Below are 22,799 nucleotides of genomic sequence, written 5' to 3'. Positions count from 1 at the left end.
AAACACTATAGACCAAAATTCCTTATGAATATAGTCACAAAAAGTCCTCAACAAAATACTAGCAAAGTGAATCCAGCAACATGCAAAAAGGATTATACACCATGATCAAAATTATTTCAGGAATGAAAAATTGGCTTAACATATGAAAATCAATCCACATAATATACTATATTAATAGAATAAAGGATAAAAACCATATGATCATCTCATTTCAATACACAAAAAACACTTGACAAAATCCAACACCTTTGCAAGATAAAAAAAATCTATAGGAATTGAAGAAAACTTCTGCAACCTAATAAATGGTATCTATGTAAAATCAAAAGCTAATATAATATTTAATGGTAACTAGAAGACTAAAACTTTCCTCAATATCAGAAACAAGGCAAGATGTCTGCTCTTGATACTTCTGTTCAACATTGTGCTAGAGTTTCCAGCCAAGCCAATTAAGTAAGAAAAAGAAGTAGAAGACATCCAGATTGAAAACGAAGGAGTAAAACTATTTCTATTAACAGATGACATGATCTGGTATATAGGACATTTAAGGAATTCATTAAAAAATTAAGATTAATAAATGAGTTAGGCAAGTTTGCAGGGTACAAGATCAATATACAAAAATTTGTTGTATTTCTATACATTTAGCAATTCAATGGAGGAAAGAATCATCTCCTAAACAAGTGGTGCTGGGATGGCTGGATGTCCACATACAAAATAATGAAGTTGAACCTCTACCGCACACCATACACAAAATTAACTGGATCACAGACATAACCGTAAGAGCTAAAAAGTATAAAACTCTTAGAATAAATATAGAAGTGAACCTTGGATTAGGTTCACAAGAAGTAACCTTGGATTAGGCAGTGGTTTCTTCTTAAAAAAATTGACCATAGAGTAGGCATATGATACCAAAAGCACAAGTGACATAAGAAAACAACAGATAACTGGAGCTTATCAAAATTAAAAACTTTTGTGCTTCAATGAATACAATCAAGAAAGTGAAAAGACAACCCAAAGAATGGGAAAAAGTATTTGCAAATCAAATATCTGATAAAAGACTTACATCTAGAATATGTAAAAAAAACTCTTACAACTCAGCAATAAAAAGACAATTCAATTTTTAACGTGGCCAAAAGGTCTAAAGAGACATTTCTCCAAAGAAGATACATAAATGGCAATAAGGCTGGGCTTGGTAGCTCATGCCTGTAATCCAGCACTCTGGGAAGCCAAGGCAAGTGGATCACTTGAGCCTAAGAGTTCCAAACCAGCCTGGGCAACATGGTGAAACCCCATCTCTACTAAAAATATAAAAAATAGCCGGGTGTGGTGGAACACACCTATAATTCCAACTACTTGGGAGGCTGAGGCACAAGAATCACTTGAACCCGGGAGATGGAGGTTGCAGTGAGCCGAGATCATACCACTGCACTCCAGCCTGGGCAACAGAGTGAGACTCCAACTTAAACAGACAAACAAAAACAAATGGCCAATAAGCATAAGAAAAGATGCTCAACATCAACAGACATCAGGGAATTGCAAATCAAAACAATAAGAAGAAACTACTTCACCTACTAGTATGGTCATAATTTAAAAAGTTGGACAATAACAATAATTGGCAAGGATGTAAAAAAATTGGAACCCTCGGCCAGGCGCGGTGGCTCACGCCTATACTCCCAGCACTTTGAGAGGCTGAAGCAGGGGGATCACAAGGTCAGGAGTTCAAGACCAGCCTGACCAACATGGCAAAACCCTGTCTCTACTAAAAATACAAAAATTAGCCGGGCGTGGTGGCGCGTGCCTGTAATCCCAGCCACTCAACAGGCTGAGGCAGGAGAATTGCTTGAACCCAGGAGGCGGAGGTTGCAGTGAGCCGAGATTGCACCACTGCACTCCAGCCTGGGCAACAGGGTGAGACTCTGTCTCAAAAAAATAAATAAAAATAAATAAATAAATAAATAAATAAATAAATAAATTGGAACCCTCATACAACCTGTGGAATGTAAAATGGTCAGCTGATATGCAAAACAGTTTGGCACTTCCTCACAAAGTTAAACATAAAGTTACCATATAGCCCCAAAATTGTCCTACTACATAAAATGCCCAAGAGAAATAAAAACATTTGCCCACAGAAAAGTTGTACACACGTTAATAGTGGTATTATTATTCATAATAGCCAAAAAATGGAAGCAGCCCAAATGCCCATCAGCTAATGAACAGATAAACAAAATATGATATATCCATATAGTGGAATATTATTTGGTCTAAAAAAAAATGGAGTACTGATACATGCTACAACATGGATGAACCTTGAAAACATTATGCTAAATGAAAGAAGCCAGATTACAAAGACTACACATATTGTATGATTTCACTCCTATGAAATATACAGAATATATCAGGCATGGTGGCTCATGCTTGTAATCCCAGAACTTTGGGAGGCTGAGGCAGGTGGATCATTTGAGGTCAGGAGTTTGAGACCACCCTGGCCAACATGGTGAAACCCCATCTCTACCAAAAATATAAAAAATTAGCTGGGTGTCCTGGTGTACACCTGTAATCCCAGCTACTGTGGAGGCTGAGGCAGGAGAATCACTTGAACCTGGGAGGCGGAGGTTGCAGTGAGCTGAGATCATGCCACTGCACTCCAGCCTGGACTACAGAGCCAGACTCTGTCTCAAAAAAAAAAAAAAAATGCAGAATAGGCAAATCCATCGAGATAGCAATTAGATAAGTGGTTGTCAGCAGCTGAGGGGAGGGAGGAATGGTGAGAGACTGCTAATATATATGGGGTTTCTTTTTTGGAGTGGTGAAATGTTCTGGAATTAGATGGTGATGGTTATACCACTTTGTGCATATATTAACAACCACTGAATTGTACACTTTAAAAGGTGAATTTTATGTCAATTATATCTCAATAAAGTTATTAAAAAATGAAAAGCTATATGTCCTATGGATCTTGCTGGAAGAACACAAATTTAAGTAAATCAGTTTCTTTTCTCCCCAACATTAAAAGTGACTGTTGTCTATTTGAGATGACCAATAAATAATTTACCTTTTAAAATTTAAATGTTGACAGGCCGAGGTGGCTCATGCCTGTAGTCACAGCACTTTGGGAGGACAAGGAGGATAGCTTAAAGCCAGGAGTTCAAGATCAGCCTGAGCAACAAAATGGTAAAACACTTTTTAAAAAATTAGCCAGGCATGGTGGCATACACCTGTAGTCCCAACTACTCAGGAGGCTGAGGTGAGAGGATCACTTGAGTCCAGGAGTTCCAGGCTGCTGTGAGCTATGATTTTACCACTGCACTCCAGCCTGGGCAACAGAGAGACCCTGTCTTTAAAAAGTTAAAAATAAATGTTACAGTTAAATCATATGTATATTTGAGGCATTGATCTCTGCATGAATTAACATCTCTTTTTATGAATAGTGGTTTATTTTAAAGTTGAAAATATTTTGAATAAAACATTTCTGAGCATATTAGTATCCATATGTAGTACTCAATATGCTAAGATTTAATAAAAGTTTCAGAAGGGCTTAGTATTTTCTCAGTTAAAAAAACAAAACAAACAAACAAAAAAACAGCCAGGCTAGGTGGCTCATGCCTGTAATCCCTTTACTTTGGGAGGTGAAGGCTGGAGGATCATTTGAGCCAAGAGTTTGAGAGCAGCCTGGGCAAGATGGAGAAACCCCATCTACAAAAAATACAAGAATTAGCTGAGTGTGGCAGTGTGAACCTGTAGTTCCAGCTACTCAGGAGGCTGAGGTAGGAGAATCACTGGAGCCTGGGAGGTCAAGGCTGCACTGAGCAAAGATCACACCATTGCACTCCAGCCTGGGTGACAGAGTCAGACCCTGTCTCAAAATAAATAAATAAATTTTAAAAACACAGTTTCTAATGTTTGAGCATTTCCTTAGCATTCAATCAGTTTTTAAAGATTCCTTACTCTATCTTCAGCAATATTGGAGTCAAACAAAATAGAAGTCAAAGAGTAAATACATTTCTGGGAATTCTACATTTGACCAGTATTCAACCTATGGTGAAGCAATTAAGAGTTCTTGGGTTAAGCAATTTCCATATCTTTGTTTTTCCAGAATGAATTTCCAAATCAGTGTTTCAAGGCTTCCTAAGTATGAATGTTAATACACATAAGTTTCTGGGTTTAGGAAAGAAAAATATGAGTTTTTCACTCTTCTCCCTCTTCCTCCATACATTCTCTGCAGTGGTTCAATTTACTCAGAAGTAATTTCATTTGCTATTTTAAAGCTAAGTACACTGGCCTTTTCACTATAAATGCCTATATGAAAAACACAAAGCTCATGTGGTCATCAAAGCTGATTAAATGTTTGTGGTATTGCAATTTTGTTACAGGTGTGGTAAAAAAAGTTTGTGGTAGGTAGTTATGTACCATATTATTAGTTTGCAATAAATGACACAAGGGACTATGTTAAATTCCTAGTAAAAGCAAATTGATATTATGGAGTTTCATCTTTTGAAGTTGGTTATAAGTAGGTGGCCAGATTGAGCAAATAAAAAATTCAGGATGCCCAATTCGAGTTTCAAATAAACAATATTAGTATATCTCAAATATTTCATGGGGTATACTTAAACATTCATTGTTTATCTGAAATTCATACCAAATTGGGTATCCTCCATTTTATCCGACAACTCTTAATTATAGGAATAGGAAGATATTTCATTCAGGCTTATAAAAATCTGGCCAGACTAGCAGTAGGATATAAACAGACTAGGTGGTCCTACCTTTCTGTCACTGTTGGTCACCCAACAGTTAAGGAAGTTTCCAGCAAAGTCCTAGATTTGGGCTGGCATGTGACCAGATGCTGGTCTATTTTTATGCTGAGGTAAATGGGACAATTTTCCCAGGAATTCAGTAAAAACTGTAAAGGGGGTATGTGCTTAAGAGGGCAGAGGAGGATGCGTATTATACACTGCCACAGTAAAGGCCACTTCGAACAAATCTCCCCCACCCCAGGCAAATAGGTATAAATGATGGCCTATTAACTGGAAGAAGTTAGAGGGGGTTTTGAATGTGTGGACTGAGTATGCCAAGCAAAGGAACAGTGAGCAGGGAAACTGGCCTTGGAACAAGTGGATTCCACTGGAATGAAACAGGTCAAACTCAACATATCCAAACCGGAAAGCACGACCTTTCCCTTCAAACTCCTCCCCACTCCCTAAGTACATTCATGAATTCAGCAAGTATTAAAGCGGCCACTAGTGCCAGCAAGTACTGGCTCCAGGCATACACCCTTGAGCAGAACAGACGTAGTCCCTGCTCTCAGAGAACTTACAGCAGAGTGGGGAGACTCATATCATCACAAAAATAAATGATTAATTACACATTTTGACATTGCAATGACAGAAGGATGTTTGGTGCTATACATCTTTAATAAAGCTGGTATACTGCTACTAATTTTTAGGTGGTGATTATAATGAATAAACACAAAGGATTATTAGAAGGCATCCTGAGGATAAAACCTTTTAAGTACCACATAGTTTCCTATTTAGGGGAACAATATTCCATTAAAATTCACATTTTTGGAATTTGATTTCTTTCTTTTAAAAATTTATTTATTTTTTGCCCTTTTCCCCAAGTTCTGATGGAATTTGGTTTCTGTTTAGTAATGTTTGCTAGAATATGTACTTTTATATGAAACATTTGCATATTTGTTATTAGTACGATTAATCGTATTGTCACTGAACAAAAAGTAGAAGTAAATAATTTTGTTTGACGGGTAAACCTCTTCCATGTTCAGCCGATCTTTTTTTTTAAAAAAAATTATTATTATTTTCCCCAGATCAGAGATGTACAGCCCATCTTTCAATGATGATTCTACTCAACTGCTCCTGTGCCATCTCTGGTCCAGAGGATGTAATTCCTGCTAACTTGAAAGGGCAAAACTGACAAGTGCCTATTTCAGTAGCTTATTACCACTTAATGACAGAGGATAGCTTCCAGGAAAAGTACTATAATACATCGAAAAGGGGACTTTTAACTGTATCTGGTAGAATTCCAAAGCATTTAACACCCACTAGGGTCAACGCGGTGACTCCCATCCTACTGAAGTGCAGCCACTTCTGGCCTGGAGCGCAGCTGCTGGTTAACAGCTGTCCAACCTCAGTGCTCCCCACTCGAGACCTTTAAGAGGAGCTCACCGAACCCAATTAAATAACATATATCGTTAGTTTCAAATCACGCTTCTTGTGTCGTGCAAATTTATCTGGAACGGAGAGAAGTACCTCGTGCTTCTCGGGACTTCATCAACTCGGTTTTGGCAATTTTCTTCCTACTTCTTTATCCCTTTCTCTTTCCCCCCATGTACCACTCTAATCTGCCAGACGGAACAATTTAGCCTTTTTCAACTAAAGGACCGGAGGAAGGAAGAGTTAGAGAACTGGACTTGGGGATGAGCGGTGGTGTTAAACATTTACCGGGAGAGGGGAAGGGGCGGGTGCGCGAACAAAACCCCCAGGCAACGTTCCTCCAAGTGTGCGGCCCTACCTCCCGGTTCCCCCGCCTCGGGCAGGGCCGGACTGCCCAAGGCAGAGGCCAGCAGAGGAAGGAGGGCCGGAGCCCCCGCCCGCACCTTCCCCCACTCCAGCCGCATTTTCCCCGAACTCGTACGGGCGCTGGCCTCCGGGCAGCAGCCGGCCCGCGGGTCCCCGCGGGAGGAAGGCGAGCCAAAGCCCGGCGGCCACTCGGATTGTTACGCGCATTCAACTCCGCGGAGTGCGGGGCGCTGGGGTGCAGAGGGGTCTCCGCCCGGCGCCACCCAGGTCCCCAGGCGGGAAGCGGCTCAACTGGGAAAGCAGCCGGCGCCCGTGGTCTCCGGGCCGGCCGCCCGCGTTCTTCCGGCCAGCCCCCCGCGGAGGGGAGGGGCGCCGACGCCGCGTTCTCGGGGCCCCGCAGCCGGCGGAAGGGCCGCGCATCGCGGAAGCGCGGCGGCAGCTGAGGATCAGCTGCTGGAGGAGGCGGAGAGGCAGAGGGAGGAGCCTCGGGGGGAAGGAGAGGGAGGGGACCGTCAGGAAGCCGCGAACGCCGCCGAGTGTCTGCACACCTCGCTCTGCCTGCCATGGCTGGTTAAAGAACCATCCGGATCGCAGCGCGGGGGGAGGGCCGGGTGGGGGGAGCAGCGGCCGCGCGTGAGGCCGAGGGAGGGGCGGCGGCGCGAGCGGCGGCGGCGGCGGTTCCAGCATGAAGAGGAGAGCTGGCCTGGGGGGCAGCATGAGGTCAGTGGTGGGCTTCTTGTCCCAGCGGGGCTTGCATGGGGACCCCCTGCTCACTCAGGACTTTCAGAGGAGACGCCTGCGGGGCTGCAGAAACCTCTACAAGAAGGACCTCCTCGGCCACTTCGGCTGTGTCAATGCCATTGAATTCTCCAACAATGGAGGCCAGTGGCTGGTCTCAGGTAAATCAACCCCCTTCCCCTCCCCGCGCCTCCCCGCACCCTCCCAGCCTCCCCCTCTCGCTCTCCCCCGTCACCCTCCTCCTGCCCTCTGTCCCCACCCCCTCCCTTTCTCTACCCCCTTCTGCGGTGGGAAGGTTTGGTGTCAAATTAAAACCATTGCAGGGGGAGGGGAAGGAGAGGATGTCTTCTATAAAAAAGACCTAAAATGGTTGACAGCTCCTTAATTCGCTTTATCCCAAGTGCAAAGTGATCTCTCCTGATGCCTGCCCTGAAAGTGTAGGTCGGGGAGGGGGGCGAGGTTACCGCTCTACAAAGTTTGACGGCAAACTCTTCCTCCGCGTACTTTAAAAGGTGCTGGGGGCATTTTGGGGATGTGGAGGGTGAGGAGGCCGAGGAGCGCCGGAGGCAAGGGGGAGCTGAAGCCCCCGTCGCCGGCGTTAAGGAAAAGGGGTCTTGGGGCTGGGAAGCGGGCGGTGACAGACCCGGACGCCGAGGGGCCGGGGGCTGCGACCCGGGGGCTGGCGGGGTCTGCAGAGGGGAAGTGACTGGGGCGGTAGGGTCGCTGTGGGCCGCCCCCCTCGGCGCTCTTAGAGGCCCAGCACCATCGCCTTTCGTTCGGTTGTGGCCTCTTCTGCGTCTTGTTTTTAATACAGTTTCGAGAGTGGCGAGGGCTGTGGAGGCTAAAGGGCACCAGCCTGAACTTGAATGCGCAACTTGCGAGGCAGGCGGTAGGGTGGGGGACCCCCGGGAGACTTGTTGGCGGGAGCCCGGCGCCCCGCACCCCGTTTCCCGCGGCCGCTGTTGCAAGTGGTCTCTGCTTCTCCTCCCTCTCGCCCAGACGGGCCTGGTTGCCCCCGGGCTCTCCCTCTGGTTTGGGGAAAGTGGCGAAATCGAGGCCGGGGCTCCGGCCGGGCGGTGTAGGCCTCGCTCTCCCGGGGCTCCTAGCGACAGGCAGCTGAATCGATAGCCTATTGCTCCCGGGGAGGCCCGGGCCCCGCGGGCCGCGGCGACAGCTGCCCCTGGGGAGGTGCGCCTGCTGCCGGTGGGGGCGCTCGCCGCCGTCGTCCCCTCCTCCCTGGGGTCGCGGGCCCAGGGCAGGGGCGGGTGGGAATGGGCCTACGTGAGGGCTAGGGGGCGGCTCCCCGAAACCTGGCTCAGGGGAGGGGGGGTGAAGACGGCTGATTGGGCGTTCCTGCTTGGCTGCTGCCCTCTTCTGTCCCTTTTCCTATATTGGGAGGGATGAAGGGGGAACCCAGCGCTGGACGTGGCGCTTAGCTTCACCCAGGTCGGTCCCTGAATGTCTTTCTAATTTGTGTCCGTGAGCAGCTCGCCAGAAACTTCTGGGATCTTGGCAAAGCATCCGTCTTCGCGAGTAACCTTCGGAAGTGACATGGGGCGTACAGTCCAATTTGGGGGTAGCAAAGAGAAAGGTCTTCTGTGATCATTTTATGATAAACCTTCTGGGGTCTGTCCAGAACTGACTTGACTTTTGTACCCCAGATCGTTTTCTCTTTGACTAGGTAGATTTTGGCCCTAGATCATCCTCTGAAGAAACCTGATCTTTCAGACAAAAGCCTCCTTCCCCCACAGCACCGTATAAAATTTTATCAAATAAATTTGAAGAGCAAAAATGGGGGAAGACCTCTTCTTTATAGACCTAGCTCCCAGTTTCCCTGCTGTTGTTTTTTATGTATTCATAAAACTCCCGATGTATTACAACAGAGAAGTTCCCAGACACAAGTAAACTTTACCTACCGAGTGAGGGAGTTTGGGGGTACTCTTTTAGAGACAACTGAACTAATCATGTTAACGGAATTGTAAGTAGTCACACGTTGCCCAGCTTGACACACCTTTATTTACGTATTTATTTGAGACAGGGTATCACTCTGTTGCCCAGGCTGGAGTGCAGTGGGCTATCACTCACTGCTCACTGCAGCCTTGATCTCCCAGGCTCAAGCTAACCTCCCACCTCAGCCTCCCAAGTAGCTGGGACTACAGGCAGGTGCTATCATGCCCAGGTAATTTAAACTTTTTTTTTTTTTGTAGAGGTGGAGTCTCCCTATGTTGCCCAGGCTAGTCTTGAACTCTTGGCCTTAAGTAATCCTCCTGCCTCACCCCGTAAAGTGCTGAGATTGCAAGCATAAGCCACCATGCCTAGCTCACACTTTAAAAAAAATAACAAATTTATTGAGATAATTTCCATGCCACATAATTTATCTATTTGAAGTTACATTTTTAAAAGCACGAAATGTTCTTTACCAGTTATTACTACTTTTATCCTTGGGCAGGACGCTCCCCTGTATCTTAAATGAACTCTATTTTCTCTAGTCTTGGCCAGGTCATTTCCTTTATCTTAATTTTAGCCTGTGAAAGAGGAGGGTCATTTCCACAGAGGAGGCTCTGGCAGACCTTTCGATTCTGGGTATTTATTTCCTTACTCTTCTAGGCTTGTGTTGCCCATCTCCATCAGTACTTCCTGGGTTCCAGCCTTCTTTGCCCCTTGCTCCTTTTCCTTCCCCCCATACTCCCTCTAGCTCAGTTCTTCCTGTTTCCTTTTTATCTACTCCTGTTCCTGTTCTTAGTCCTATCAGCAGGCTATTCCATCGCTCCTCCATTTTGGCTAAGATACACCTAGCTTTTCCTATTTGTTCCTTGAACATAGAGTTTTGGTTTAAAGCCTTTTTAGCTATTTACCTTCCATTATGAGTACACAGCTGTGTTAACAGAAAGTTCCTCCTGTTTGCTTCAGATAAGGAAGCCCCCTTTGGGAGTCCTAATTAACCTTAACTTGTTAAAGCTAATTGAATTTTTTTCTGGGAAGTCCTTCAATAATTTTCCCACGTTTAAAACTAGTGTCATGTTTATATTTTTTTCTTATCTATCTTTGTCTCTCATTAGCAGTCAACACCTGAGTGGGGGAGCACAGTATTCTGAGGCTAATGCTATGTATCCCCAATGTTGTAATGTAGTGGGATGCCAGACTCTGGGATGGTAATGAGATTACTTTTATGCATTTTGTTGTTCTTGTGTCTTGTCTGGTTTGGAAAGCCCTTAGAGAGCTGTGATTAAAATGATAGATTGTTCATAGTTTGTTCATTGTTTTCATTTCATAATTGTTTGGGCAGGCTCACATTTCTGGTAACTGACACATACTACTTGATAGAATTAACTTATACCCAGGGCAGAAATAATATTTGCATGATTCCTGTGGCTGGGTAAAGTACTATTAGTTAATAATACATCACTTTTCTGTTCCAACAGCTATCCCCTTTTCCAGGGCACAGTGAGGCCAGCAGATATTGAGTAAACCGGAGAAAATCAGGAAGGAGAAAAGGTGCTGTGCTTGGAAGTGAAATTATGACAGCAACAAGTGGAGAAATGGTTATTTGACACGTTAAGATACTTTAACCGAAAAAGTACTTGATTTTTCTTGTTTATGACCAGAAAGGGGCATCGCTGTGATACTGGGTTAGGCAGTGTGGTATAGCAGATATGTGGTTAACATCATTGCTGTGTCATTTGTTTAATCTGTGACTTTAGTCAAGTTACTAAGCCTCTCTGAATGTGTTTTCTGAGGTATACAGTTGGAATATTGGCACCTACCTGAGGGGCTTGTTGTGAGAACTATGTTAGTTAAAGTATAGGTTGGGTGCTGAACAGAGCGCCAGGCCTCTCAGAGAAAATACTGAGTTTGTTTTCTTTCTCTTTTGTATTCATAACACATGGTGTCATTAATAACAGACATTTGTTATTACAGTATTGTTAATAGACCAGTGCAGATTAGCCAGACAGGATAGTTTTGTGACTTTTTGATGTGGAATGTGGAGGCACAATGTGGTGTGGAAAGTGCTTGGGATTTGATGTCATGTGATTTGAGTTGGAGGCTCTACCAGTCACAAAGTGTTTGATTTTAGGTAAGTACCTTCACTACTCATCTGTAAAATGAGGATAACAGATTGCCCTCACTGGTAGATGAATGGGGGTAGTGAATGGTCAATGAAATGTTATATGTGAAGGTGCTTTATGAACTTGATTTTGAGTGAACATTACTTTTTTTTTGGGCGGTGGGGGCAATGGAGTCTTGCTCTGTCGCCCAGGCTGGAGTGCAGTGGCGGGATCTCGGCTCACTGCAACCTCCGCCTCCTGGGTTCAAGCAAGTCTCCTGCCTCAGCCTCCTGAGTAGCTGGGATTACATGTGCGTGCCTCCACACCTGGCTAATTTTTGTATTTTTAGTAGAAACGGGGTTTCACCATGTTGGCCAGGCTGGTCTCAAACTCCTGACCTCATGATTTGCCCACCTCAGCCTCCCAAAGTCCTGGGATTACAGGTGTGAGCCACCCCACCCAGCCCGTTAACATTACTTTTTATAAAGACTAGCTTATACTTGATGATTGTAGTCTCTTCTTAGAATATTTATGTGTGTTAGTCCTTTGAGGGATGGGGAACAACATTGTATTTGAAGTGCCACTTACAAGAGATCCTAACAACATCAATGAGGTTACAGTAGTACGCATATTTAGGGGATATCTTGGGTTTACCCTTTAGGTCTTTGGTTGCATCTAGTACTCTAAATTGCTCTCATTGCCTCCTCTTATGCTTTTCCTTTTTCTTAGAATGGGGTCCTTTATATGTTTGTTTAAAGTTTTTTTTTTTTTTTTTTTGCGAAGAAAATGAACATCTTTTAGGGCTCTGATTGGATGACCAATCAGAATGTATCTCTATGTGCATTTGACTTGGATTGTTACTCCGCCTTTTTATATGTTGTAAAGGGCTTGTGCAAGTCATCTTAGCAGTAAACAAAAACAAAGATTTGGCTCTTTGGAATGAGAGTGGCTATATTATTTCCCCTGAATCGAAGTTTAAGGCATTGGAACTTATAGAGCTAGCAGAATAACCCATAAGTATGAAGTTTTGAGTTATAGTGAGAGATTATTATCTTTTTTGTGTGCTTATGACTAAATATAGGAAAAGTACCTTTAGAAGTTTTTCAAATAGCATGAGCAACTATGATGTTTCAAAGTATTAATTATGTAGGAGTTGTGAATGGGGAGAGTCATTTAGTTGCTTGGTCATAATACTTATAAATGGGGATAACTATTTAGCCTATTTCTAGTTCAAATGGGTCTCTGACCATATTGATCATTATAAGGAGCCATAATCTATATAGAGAGATTGTAGAGTATGAACTCTGAAGTCAGACTGCCTGGGGTGAACACCAACCCAGCTGCTTGGTACCTGGGTTGCTTTTGACAGGTCACTTATCCTCTCTTGTCTGTTTCCTCACCCATGTAATAAGGATAATAATACCCTACAGGGTTGTGGTAAGGATTGAATGAAATAACATTTGTAAAATTCTTAGCACAAGGGCCTAACCCATGCTGTTGCTACTGCTGCTGCAACTGTTGTTGTTGTTTCCCTTGAATGTCACAAAAGGCTTTCAGGAGATTGATACCTTCAACATCTAACATATACTGCACATGGCACAGTACACCATGAAATATTGAGAAAGATCTCCATGAGGTGAACTGTTCAAAATACTTTGTGAATAAGCTTAACCAGTACTGTCATCAAAGAGTATTTTTAAGCATTGAATAATAGCTATTATTACACCTATATGCTTAATTTGAACCTATTAATTAATGGTCATTTCCTGTTTCCCAGTCACTAGTTTATATCACGTTTTATGAAATCAGTTTTTTGTAGATAAATTAGTCTAAAAGCACATTATCTGCAGGTAAGTCGTTTGGCTTTAGCCAGTTAAATAAAGCCTGACTTTATTAAAGCTGTTCATTTAATTAGAATGAATTTGTTGGTTCGGTAGTTACTTATCAGGAGAAATATGGCCAGTGGTAGAGCAGGTTTTTGTCTTTGAAAAGCTTTCATAGTATAGACATTTTAACAAGGTAATTGAGGAATCAGTTTTCAAATTTTCTTCTGGCCTTTTCTATTTACTGATAATTCATTGCTGTGAAGGTATTTTATTATTTGATCTATTTATTAGTGCAACAAATAGTTTTTGAGTGCATACTGTTTGTAAAACAGGAGCTATGAGAACAGGGACAATGAATCAGGTATAAATTATGTTTTCAAAAAGCTGGTGTTTTAGGAGTGTTCAGTTCTCATTTGTAACATTTCATGACCTTTTAAAAGATATCCCCTCTACCTTATGATACTTTAATAGATTTTTTTTTCCTCTGGTTTGCTATACTTAATACAGCAAAAATGCTCTTGCCTGTGAGATTTGGTGGGAAAGAAAGAAGGCCTGTAGAGATGGCCCTGAGGAACTTTGCTATGATAAATTATAAAGATCATGTCATAAGGATAAAGTAATGTGAATATTTATAGATACACATTATTTGTCCTACTTGGTTCTTTAGTCAGCTAATTGATACCTATCAAAGGTTGGCAAATTTAGATTTATGCCTGGGTTTGTCACTTCTACTTTAAAATAACCTAGTGAGGTTTAGCTGCTGATCATTAGTCACATTAGACATTGTTATTAATACATCAAAAAGTTGTCCTTGTGCTCAGTATTGTTCAAAGGATCATTTTTAATTTGATTTATGCCAATGTGTTTTTGATAGCTAAGATTTCCTAAAGAGAGCAAGAGTCCTCAGTTATGTATTTTGGCCACCACATTGAAAGGAAGTGTCAGCCCAGGTACAAGCACGTGCTTTCACTGATTATTGATGGATTTGTTTGTAAAGTACAGTTGGAGTCATTTAGATGAGGGAAACTTTATTGACTAGTAAAACTTGTCACACAAATGCATACTACTCTCTTAATTCCAAGTTAAGAAGTAGGTGCATTTATTTTCTCATGCATTGATCAAGGCAAAGAGAGCATAAGTTTATAAGAGCACTTCCATTGCTAATAAACATGGCACTTAATTTTAATCTCTGTCTTCTTTTTATGGTCTTAAGAAAGAAGAAACTAATTGCTTTTCTTATTTTAGTCTGAATTTAGATACTCAAGGGTGGAATGAAAGTCTTTTAAAGTTAAAGGAAATAAAATCCTAATTCAGATGAAGATTACCTAAGTTAAGAAGGAATCAGTTCTGTTTTCAATTTTTGTTGCCTCACATTGTTTAAAAAAATATTCTTATAAAATAACTGAATATTAATTTGAATTAACCCTTACATTATTGTGGGAATATGAAATTCTATTTCTTTTCTACTCAATTCCCTGTCCTTTAAATTTTTTGATTTTCTTATGTTGCTATAGTATGGGAAATTAAAATTTTTTTTTTTATTTTCAGTTATAAAAATTAGGTTACCATTTGCCAAAGTTTGGATATGTTAGATGAATTTAGATAATCTTTGAGTGAATATTTAAAGTTGAGTAGTTAATTTATCTTTAGACACATTAGAAAAATTAGCTAACGTGAATAAAATATTTTTAATGATTTTATTACTTAAGGTGAGGTTAAATTTTTAAGTAAATTAAGGCCAGGTGCAGTAGCTCACACCTGTAATCCCAGCACTTTGGGAGGCAGAGGCAGGAGGATCACTTGAGCCCCGGAGTTTGAGATCAGCCTGGTTAACATAGCATGACCCTACCTCTACCAAAAATTTAAAAACTAGCTGGGTATGGTGGCGTGCACCTTTAGTCCCAGCTACACAGGAGGCCGAGGTGGGAGGATTGCTTGAGCCTGGAAGGTCAAGGCTGCAGTGAGCCATCATCATGCAAATCAATTTAAAGAAAAACAATAAAAGTGTTATGTTGATATGGCAAAAATGAAAAGATGATCAAGATTGAAGCTTGTGAAATGCTGCATTAAGTAACCCTTTTATATCTTCTCTTTTCTGCATGGGATCGGAGAAATGGAAGGATTTTCATTTTACAGGAAAGGGAGCTGAGATCTAGACAAGTGACTTGCCCAGAGCTGTCTGCATTGTCTCTGGCTGTCGGGACTCTAAGTAGGACTCATTGCTCCCAGGCAGGTGCTGTTTCTCTCTTTTCCCTTTGTAGGCAGGTCACATTTTCTGGATCTGTCCTAAGGAATTGAAAGCTGAATGTTAGCAGTTTCTGGAGCACATGTACAACTCTGGTTGCTTCTCTTAAATGATAAATTATATCTCTGTGTTTTGCTGTAAATAAGGTTAACTTGTTTTACTTAAGTATGTTTATTTACTCATTAAAATATTTATTGAGTACCCATTTTGTGCCCCTTTAATCTTTTTTTTTTAAACGGAGTCTCGCTCTGTCGCCCCGGCTGGAGTGCAGTGGCGTGGTGCGATCTCGGCTCACTGCAAGCTCCACCTCCCAGGTTCATGCCATTCTCCTGCCTCAGCCTCCCGAGTAGTTGGGACTACAGGCACCCGCCACCACGCCCAGCTAATTTTTTGTATTTTTAGTAGAGACGGGGTTTCACCGTGTTAGCCAGGATGGTCTCGATGTCCCGACCTTGTGATCCGCCCACCTCGGCCTCCCAAAGTGCTGTGATTACAGGCGTGAGCCACCGCGCCTGGCCTTGTGCCCCTTTAATCTTAATAACAATGAAAATTATTATTTAACTTTTTTTTTTTTATCTTGTAACGTATGCCAGGCCTTCTGCTAAGCACTTTACATGTCTTATTTGCCACTTGGAAAATAGCCAGCGTTACCTGTAGTGTAGAAAGGCAATGAGATTTGTAGTATAGAAAGGCAAGGAGATTTGAAGGTTTTGCATTAATTGTCATAAGTGAGTGCTAAAGAATCAAGGAAGGACATTGATAAATTACTGCTGAGAGTTCTGTAATCCAGAGAACAGGCAATGCATTAGTGGAAAAATAGAATTCATTATTTGTGGTTAAAATGAAGTGAAATATGGCGGGTCTGAATGCAGTGGTGCTTACAACTAATTGATCACAACCAGTTACAGATTTCTTTGTTCCTTTTCCACTCCTATTGCTTCACTTGACTAGTCATAAAAAAATGATGTGAAACGTAATTCTAGGGGTGAAAAAAGATTTTTTTATAACCATGATCCGTTACTTTATAGAAAATTTGGTTCCAATAACTGCTTTTCAAGTTTTTGTTCTTTTCAGTTTTAGTACTTATTAGTCGCCACTGCCATTATAATATAAGCTTCCCAAAATGTAACTGTCATTGTTTCACATCCCCTGCTGATCTGCAGCACTCCCCGGCGCCTACCAAATTAAGGAATGCCTCGCCCAATGTTCAGCTGAGACATTGCTGTTTGTAAAAAAAAAAAAAAAAAAAAAAAAAGTTTAACAGATTTTTTAAATAGCTAATATTTGATGTCATTTATTTATCAAATATTATTTGGGGGCATTTCATGTGCCAGGCATATGTAACACTTAAAAGAATGTTTTGTAAGTTAGGGTAGTATTATTATCCTTATATTACATATGAGGGAACTGAGGCTTACAGAAGTTAGGTAACTTATGAAAGCTCCCATGGTTTATGGTGGAGCTAGATTTCCAGGTTGGGTCTGAATGTTTTCTGAGACATGCTAACTGCTTTGAAATTTTTACAATGTTATATGCATTTTTAAAGGATCTGATTTTTTTTCTCCTTCATTCTCCTCTCTTGATGCTATCACTCATATTTTGCTATCTGCAGTTTTTCACTTTTATATGTAAGTGGAGGATGACGGGTGGAATTGTGAAGATGGGAGTGGACTTGGAGCCAGTAAGCAGGGTTCTCATCACAGCCACAGTACTTACTTCTCAAGCAGATGTCTCTTGGTGCTAGCACTCACCTCACCTAGATTCTGATGTTTGCAGTTATCTAAAGTCTCCTTCTTCCTCACACTCTGTGTATTCCATACGTAACCATGTGACTAACTCCCACTGGGTTTAACTCCCTACTTTAGTCTGATTAGGAGTAGGTATACTCTAGTTATCAAGTTGGTTTCTCTTGTCTGTTAGCCCAGTTAAAAGTAAAAACAATATATGTGTATTTACTGAACCTGTAATTTGAGTTTAATATCTGCCCAAGTCATGCTGAATGATTACATTTGACTGAATTTCAGTCAACAAATAGGTGTCTTTCCTCATATAGTTATACATGGGGAGAAAATACCTGTCTGGGCCACAGATGAATACTGTGCTTCAGAATAAAGTGCTTTTTGGAAGAAAGTGTAAACCTAATATGGGCTGATTTGCTCAGAGAGTGCTAGTAAGTCATTTGGAAGCACTTTTTCACACACACAGTATCATAAAGGGAGGTGTAACTGCTAGACCAGATGATAAGCCTGTTTAATCCTTAATGAGCTTGAAGCATAGTGTTCTTGTAAGTAAAATTTGCTTCTGTCACCACAACGTCACTCTGCTTCTGTGGAAAAGAAGGCATTTCACTTTCATGGCCATTCACTGAATGGGTAAAAAGAAAGGTTGCTCCATTGGTTCCGGTCTTGGACTCAGTTTGCTCTTCCTGTCAGTTTTCTTAAATCAGAGATTTAGGGAAAGACTTGACAGTAGTAGTTTGTCACTTTAGTTACCTGATCTTCCCATGCCCTGCCACTTTATTCATGCTCTGTTGCTCAGACCAGAGTGCAGGGGCAGTTACGGCTCACTGTAGCTTTGACCCTCCATGCTCAAGTGATCTTCCCACCTCAGCCTCCCGAGTAGCTGGGACTACTGGCATGCACCATCGTGCCCAGCTAATTAAAAAAAATTTTTTTTTGTAGAGACAGGATCTCACTATTTTGCCCAGGCTGGTCTTGAACTACTGGGCCCAAGTGATCCTCTCACCTTGGCCTTCCAAGGTGCTGGGATTACAGATGTGAGCCACCATACCTGGCCAGAATACCAGAAATTCTATCATATACCTCTCGGGATACAGAGTTGATAATTCATAGATCAAGTCCATGTGCTCTAGTACTGTTTTCCTATTAGGGCCAATTTAAAAAATGAAAGTTATATTCCAAAGGGCTGGGATTATGTAGGAGTCATTGAGAAAATGGCATCTGAGGAAATTGACAGGTTTATAATGGATCCACATAGCAGAGATAATGTTGGCAGGAGGACTGATTCCTGTATTCCCTTCTGCCTCTGCTGGGGCTTCTGCCAGTTGATAAGATGAGGCAAGATTACTTAATAAGGTTCATTAGGTAACTCTACGTCACCTGCCTGCCTTGTTGATTGTTGGGATCCTTTGTAACCAAGCCAATCATTTATCCTGATTTACTTGGGACCATCTGAAGCTCTCCCATTGTCCCAGTGTAATTATTAGTGTTCCTTTCATTCTTAAAAAGGTCCTAGTTTAGGGAAGGGGAACATCACACACTGGGGCCTGTTGTGGGGTGGCAGGACAGGGGAGGGATAGCATTAGGAGATATACCTAATGTAAATGACGAGTTAATGGGTGTAGCACACCAACATGGCACATGTATACATATGTAACAAACCTGCACGTTGTGCACATGTACCCTAGAACTTAAAGTATAATAATAAAAGAAAAAGAAAAAAAAAGGTCCCAGTTTAAAGGATAAGTTATATGGTCACCTGCTTATAATTATTGCACTGTCTGGTATGCAAGTAAAACCAAAACCCCAGTCTCTTAGCTCCTCACATTCACTATGGGATGCCTCTAGTAGAAAAGCCTTTAAGCATCCATTCTCCTTACTTCAGGTCTTTCAGCTGCCACTTTTTTTTTTTTTTTTTTTTTTTTTTTTTAAATTTGAGATGGAGTCTCGCTCTGTGGCCCAGGCTGGAGTGCAGTGGCGTGATCTCAGCTCACTGCAACCTTCACCTCCCGAGTTCAAGCAATTCTCCTGCCTCAGCCTGTAATCCCGTTGGGATTAGAGGTGCCCGCCACCACACCTGGCTAATTTTTGTACTTTTAGTAAAGACGGGGTTTCACCGTGTTGGCCAGGCTGGTCTCGAACTCCTGACAGAGTTCAGTCCCTAGGCGGGGGTGATCTGCCCGCCTCAGCCTCCCAAAGTTCTGGGATTACAGGTGTGAGCTACCGCTCCTGGCCTCCGCTGCCACTTTTAAGGTACCAGATAGAGGCTGAGAAGCAGAGTGGTTAGTTAGTCACTTGCCTTTTATTAGAAAGGGAAAAAAAAGGCTGAAACCGTTATGAACATGCCAGGTCCAGAGGCTAATGTTACTCCATCCTTTCTATATACATCATCTTATAGTTCTTATTATACTGTTTACTTGTACTTTTTTTTGTTTTTACAGTCTTCCTATGGGTTGTTGTTCTTTGTAGAGTTGATTTTGAGAAAAGGTATTTTGAGGAATGATTCTCCACTGAGTTGAAATTTTTCCTGAGGAGTGTTTAACTAAAAGTGGATGTGATATTGATATTAAAACCATGTTACAGTCATCTGTAAAATATGAATGATAAATAAGAATTAAATAAGCAAGAAAAAAATGTTATAGGCTTAATTTTTTGGGATAGCTATCCAGCACCAGAGTGTATTTGGAGTAAAAGTTGGCCCCCTCAAGTGGCCCGGAGAAGAATTTTCAGGGATTGTAGTTTTTCAGGTATATGGCTGTAGAATGTCTTTCTCTGTCTTCTCTCTCTCTCTCTCTTTTTTTTTTAGACAGAGTCTCATTCTGTCGCCCAGGCTGGAGTGCAATGGCGCTATCTTGACTCACTGCAACCTCCGCCTCCCGGGTTCAAGAGATTCTCGTGCCTCAGCTTCCCAAGTAGCTGAGATTATAGGTGTGCACCACCATGCCCAGCTAATTTTTTGTAGTTTTAGTAGAGACGAGATTTCTCTACGTCGCCCAGGCTAGTCTCGATCTCCTGAGCTCAGGCAATCCCCCTCGTCCTCCCAATGTGCTAGGATTATAAGTGTGAGCCACTGCGCCTGGCCTCTCTGTCTTCTCTTTTCTTCTTTCTTTCTCCTTTCCTTCCCTTTCTCTCCCTCCCTTCCTTCTTTCCTTCCTTCTCTTTCTTTCTCCTTTCTTTCCCTTTCCCTCCCTTCCTCCCTCCTTCCCTTCCTTCCTTCTCCTTTTCTTTCTTTTTTTTTTTTTTGAGACAGGGTCTTATTCACTCTGTCAGTGGTGCTAACAGGCTGGAGTGCAGTGGTGTGATCTCACTCACTGCAGTCGCCACCTCCTGGGTTCAAGCCATTCCCCTGCCTCAGCCTCCTGAGTAGCTGGGATTGTAGGCATGTGTCACTACACCCAGCTAATTTTTTCGTGTTTTTAGTAGAGACGGGGTCTCACCATGTTGGTCAAGCTGGTCTTGAACTCCTGGCCTCAAGTGATTCACCTGCCTCAGCCTCCCAAAGTACTGGGATTACAGATATGAGGCACCATGCCCAAGCCTCCTTTTCTCTTTTTTTCTTTTCTTTCTTGTGAGACAGAATCTTGCTCTGTGGGTCAGGCTAAAGTGCAGTGGCATGATCATAGCTAACTGAAGCTTCGACCTCCTAAGCTTAATTGATCCTCCTGCCTCAGCCTCCCAAGTAGCTAGGACACATAGGTGATGTACACCTATGTGTGCATCACCACGTCCAGCTAATTTTTAATTTTTTCGTAGAGACAAGGTCTCTATGTTGCCCAGGCTGGTCTTGAACTCCTGGCCTCAAGCGATCTTCCCACCCTGCCTCCCAAAGTGTTGGGATTACAAGTGTGAACCACTGCACCTGGCCAGACTGTCTTTCTTTTTTTCTTCTTTCTCTCTCTCTCTGTTTCTTTCCTTTTTTGAGACAGGATTATACTCTGTTGCCCAGGCTGGGGTACAGTGGTGTGATCACAGCTTACTGCAGCCTCTGCCTCCTTGGCTCAAGTGATCCTCCCACCTCAACCTCTGGAGTAGCTGGGACTACAAGCACGTGCCATCACACCTGACTAATTTTTTAAATTTATTTTTTCTAAAGACGGGGTCTTACCATGTTGCCCAGGCTGACTTTGAACTCTTGGGCTCAAACAATCCACCCACCTCAACTTCCCAGAGTGCTGGGATTACAGGTATGAGCCACTGTGCCTGGCCCTAGAATGTCTTTCATGTTGTGAAATGTTTAAGTGATCTGGTTGGAGTCCTGTTTTCACCACTCTCATTTGTGATCTTAGGCTTCTGATGTCTCTGTAGAATTACAGAATTTTGTTGCTGGAAAGGACTAATGATCGTCTAATAGAAGTCTTTAATTTTACATCTAAGTAAACAAAGGAGCAAAGAGGTAAAATGATTTGCTCAGTAGGTTACAACTAGTGAGTAGTACAATCAGGATTAAACTCTGGGTCTTCTGACCTTTTCCCTCAATAGGGAAAGTCATGAGGTTCTGCATTTAAAAAGGACTTGCTCAAGTAAAGTGTTAAACTCCTAAGTGGCTTACTCTGCCAGTACATTGTATCTGCAGTTTCATTGCCCCTGAACATGGTTTTGATTAAATTGGTGATGCCCTATTATTTTACAGATGAGTAGGTAGAGATTTTCCAGGGTGGAGGCCAACTGTCACTCTGGTTGAGTCTCCAGTTTTAATTCTTAGCCTGCTGAGCTATACTTCCGTACTTTGGAAAGTCTTTGTTTCCTTCCAAGAACATTACTCAGGAGGAGGAATTCTTTGCAAATCCAGATGCCTGTCAAAATCTTGTTACACAACTTCCCCCATGCTGAATTTCCATTCAAGTCTTGTATCTAAATTCCAGTTGTATCTTGGTGTTACAAGTTAAAGCTAAGTGACTAATTGGAACCTTTGAGGATTGCTATGTTCCTTTTTTTTTTTTAAATAGGTGTCTTGACTATGTTGATGGCTTAGCACAGATACCTCATTTATATCACTTGCTGCCACAGATGACTCAAGTGTGTGCTTTGCCTTAGACATACAGTAGTCCCCCCTCATCTGTGGGGGATGAGTTTCAAGCCCCGCAGTGGATGCCTGCAACTGCAGATGGTACTGAACCCTATGTATACTATGTTTTGTCTTATGTATACATACCTATGGTAAAATTTAATTTATAAGTTAGGCACAGTAATACATTAACAACAATAGTAATAAAGTAGAACAATTATAATATTATACTGTAATAAAAGTTATGTGAATGTGGTCTCTGTCTCTCAAAATATCTTGACTGTAATATTTTCGGACCCTGGTTGACTAATGGTAACTGAAACTAGAAAGTGAAATCATGGGCAAAGGGGCTTACTGTACTGGCAAGAAACAAGTGAAGTTTGAGTGTTTGGCAGCTAGCCCCTGATTTAGTCTCAGGGTTGACATCTCTGTTTACATCTGCTGGTGGGTGGCTGGGTGTAGTGTGCATTCCTAGAAGTGTTAGGGCCTTCACTGATTCAGTCTTTTTAGAATTGCCAAAGAAGAGACAAGAAAGCTTTATTATGTTGTTAATTTTGTGTATACAAGGAATTTTGCAAAAGTCCAGGCAGGCAGTGTTCTTATGTACAAAACTAAAAAAAAGAATAATCAGAAATTGCTCATAGAATGGATGGAGCGTATTTGTGATATAATC

The 22,799-nt window shown here is 42.1% G+C and overlaps 1 protein-coding gene across 12 annotated transcripts in view, besides 4 other annotated features; it reads left to right on the top strand.

The window, feature by feature from the left end:
* Positions 6,628 to 7,267: a silencer, noted in NCBI's record as "silent region_5878". NCBI's record gives its function as "represses an Ori minimal core promoter by ATAC-STARR-seq in GM12878 lymphoblastoid cells {active_cell/tissue: GM12878}" and the evidence as "EXISTENCE:reporter gene assay evidence [ECO:0000049][PMID:35858748]".
* DCAF5 (DDB1 and CUL4 associated factor 5) overlaps positions 6,994 to 22,799 on the top strand; it is a 102,317-nt gene continuing 86,511 nt past the window's right edge. For 3 of the 12 annotated variants that reach the window (XM_006720298.3, XM_006720297.3, NM_001284206.1), the window contains exon 1: positions 6,994 to 7,426. In XM_006720298.3, coding sequence (XP_006720361.1) covers positions 7,213 to 7,426 — 214 coding nt within the window. In that variant the 5' untranslated portion in view covers positions 6,994 to 7,212. Of the gene's footprint in view, positions 7,427 to 7,591; positions 7,778 to 10,687; positions 10,761 to 22,799 lie in introns of those variants that run through there. The other 9 variants (NM_003861.3, NM_001284208.2, XM_017021733.2 and 6 more) reach the window with 7 other exon arrangements.
* Positions 8,088 to 8,137: a silencer, noted in NCBI's record as "silent region_5877". NCBI's record gives its function as "represses an Ori minimal core promoter by ATAC-STARR-seq in GM12878 lymphoblastoid cells {active_cell/tissue: GM12878}" and the evidence as "EXISTENCE:reporter gene assay evidence [ECO:0000049][PMID:35858748]".
* Positions 8,298 to 8,757: a silencer, noted in NCBI's record as "silent region_5876". NCBI's record gives its function as "represses an Ori minimal core promoter by ATAC-STARR-seq in GM12878 lymphoblastoid cells {active_cell/tissue: GM12878}" and the evidence as "EXISTENCE:reporter gene assay evidence [ECO:0000049][PMID:35858748]".
* Positions 21,945 to 22,239: a silencer, noted in NCBI's record as "tiled region #6895; HepG2 Repressive non-DNase unmatched - State 16:ElonW". NCBI's record gives its function as "represses a minimal TATA promoter and a strong SV40 promoter by Sharpr-MPRA in HepG2 cells {active_cell/tissue: HepG2}" and the evidence as "EXISTENCE:reporter gene assay evidence [ECO:0000049][PMID:27701403]".

This window comes from Homo sapiens, chromosome 14 (assembly GCF_000001405.40).
Source record: "Homo sapiens chromosome 14, GRCh38.p14 Primary Assembly".
Classification (NCBI taxonomy): Eukaryota; Metazoa; Chordata; class Mammalia; order Primates; family Hominidae; genus Homo; species Homo sapiens.
The sequence above is the reverse complement of the archived record's forward strand: the minus strand, read 5'-3'. Positions and strand labels throughout refer to the sequence as shown.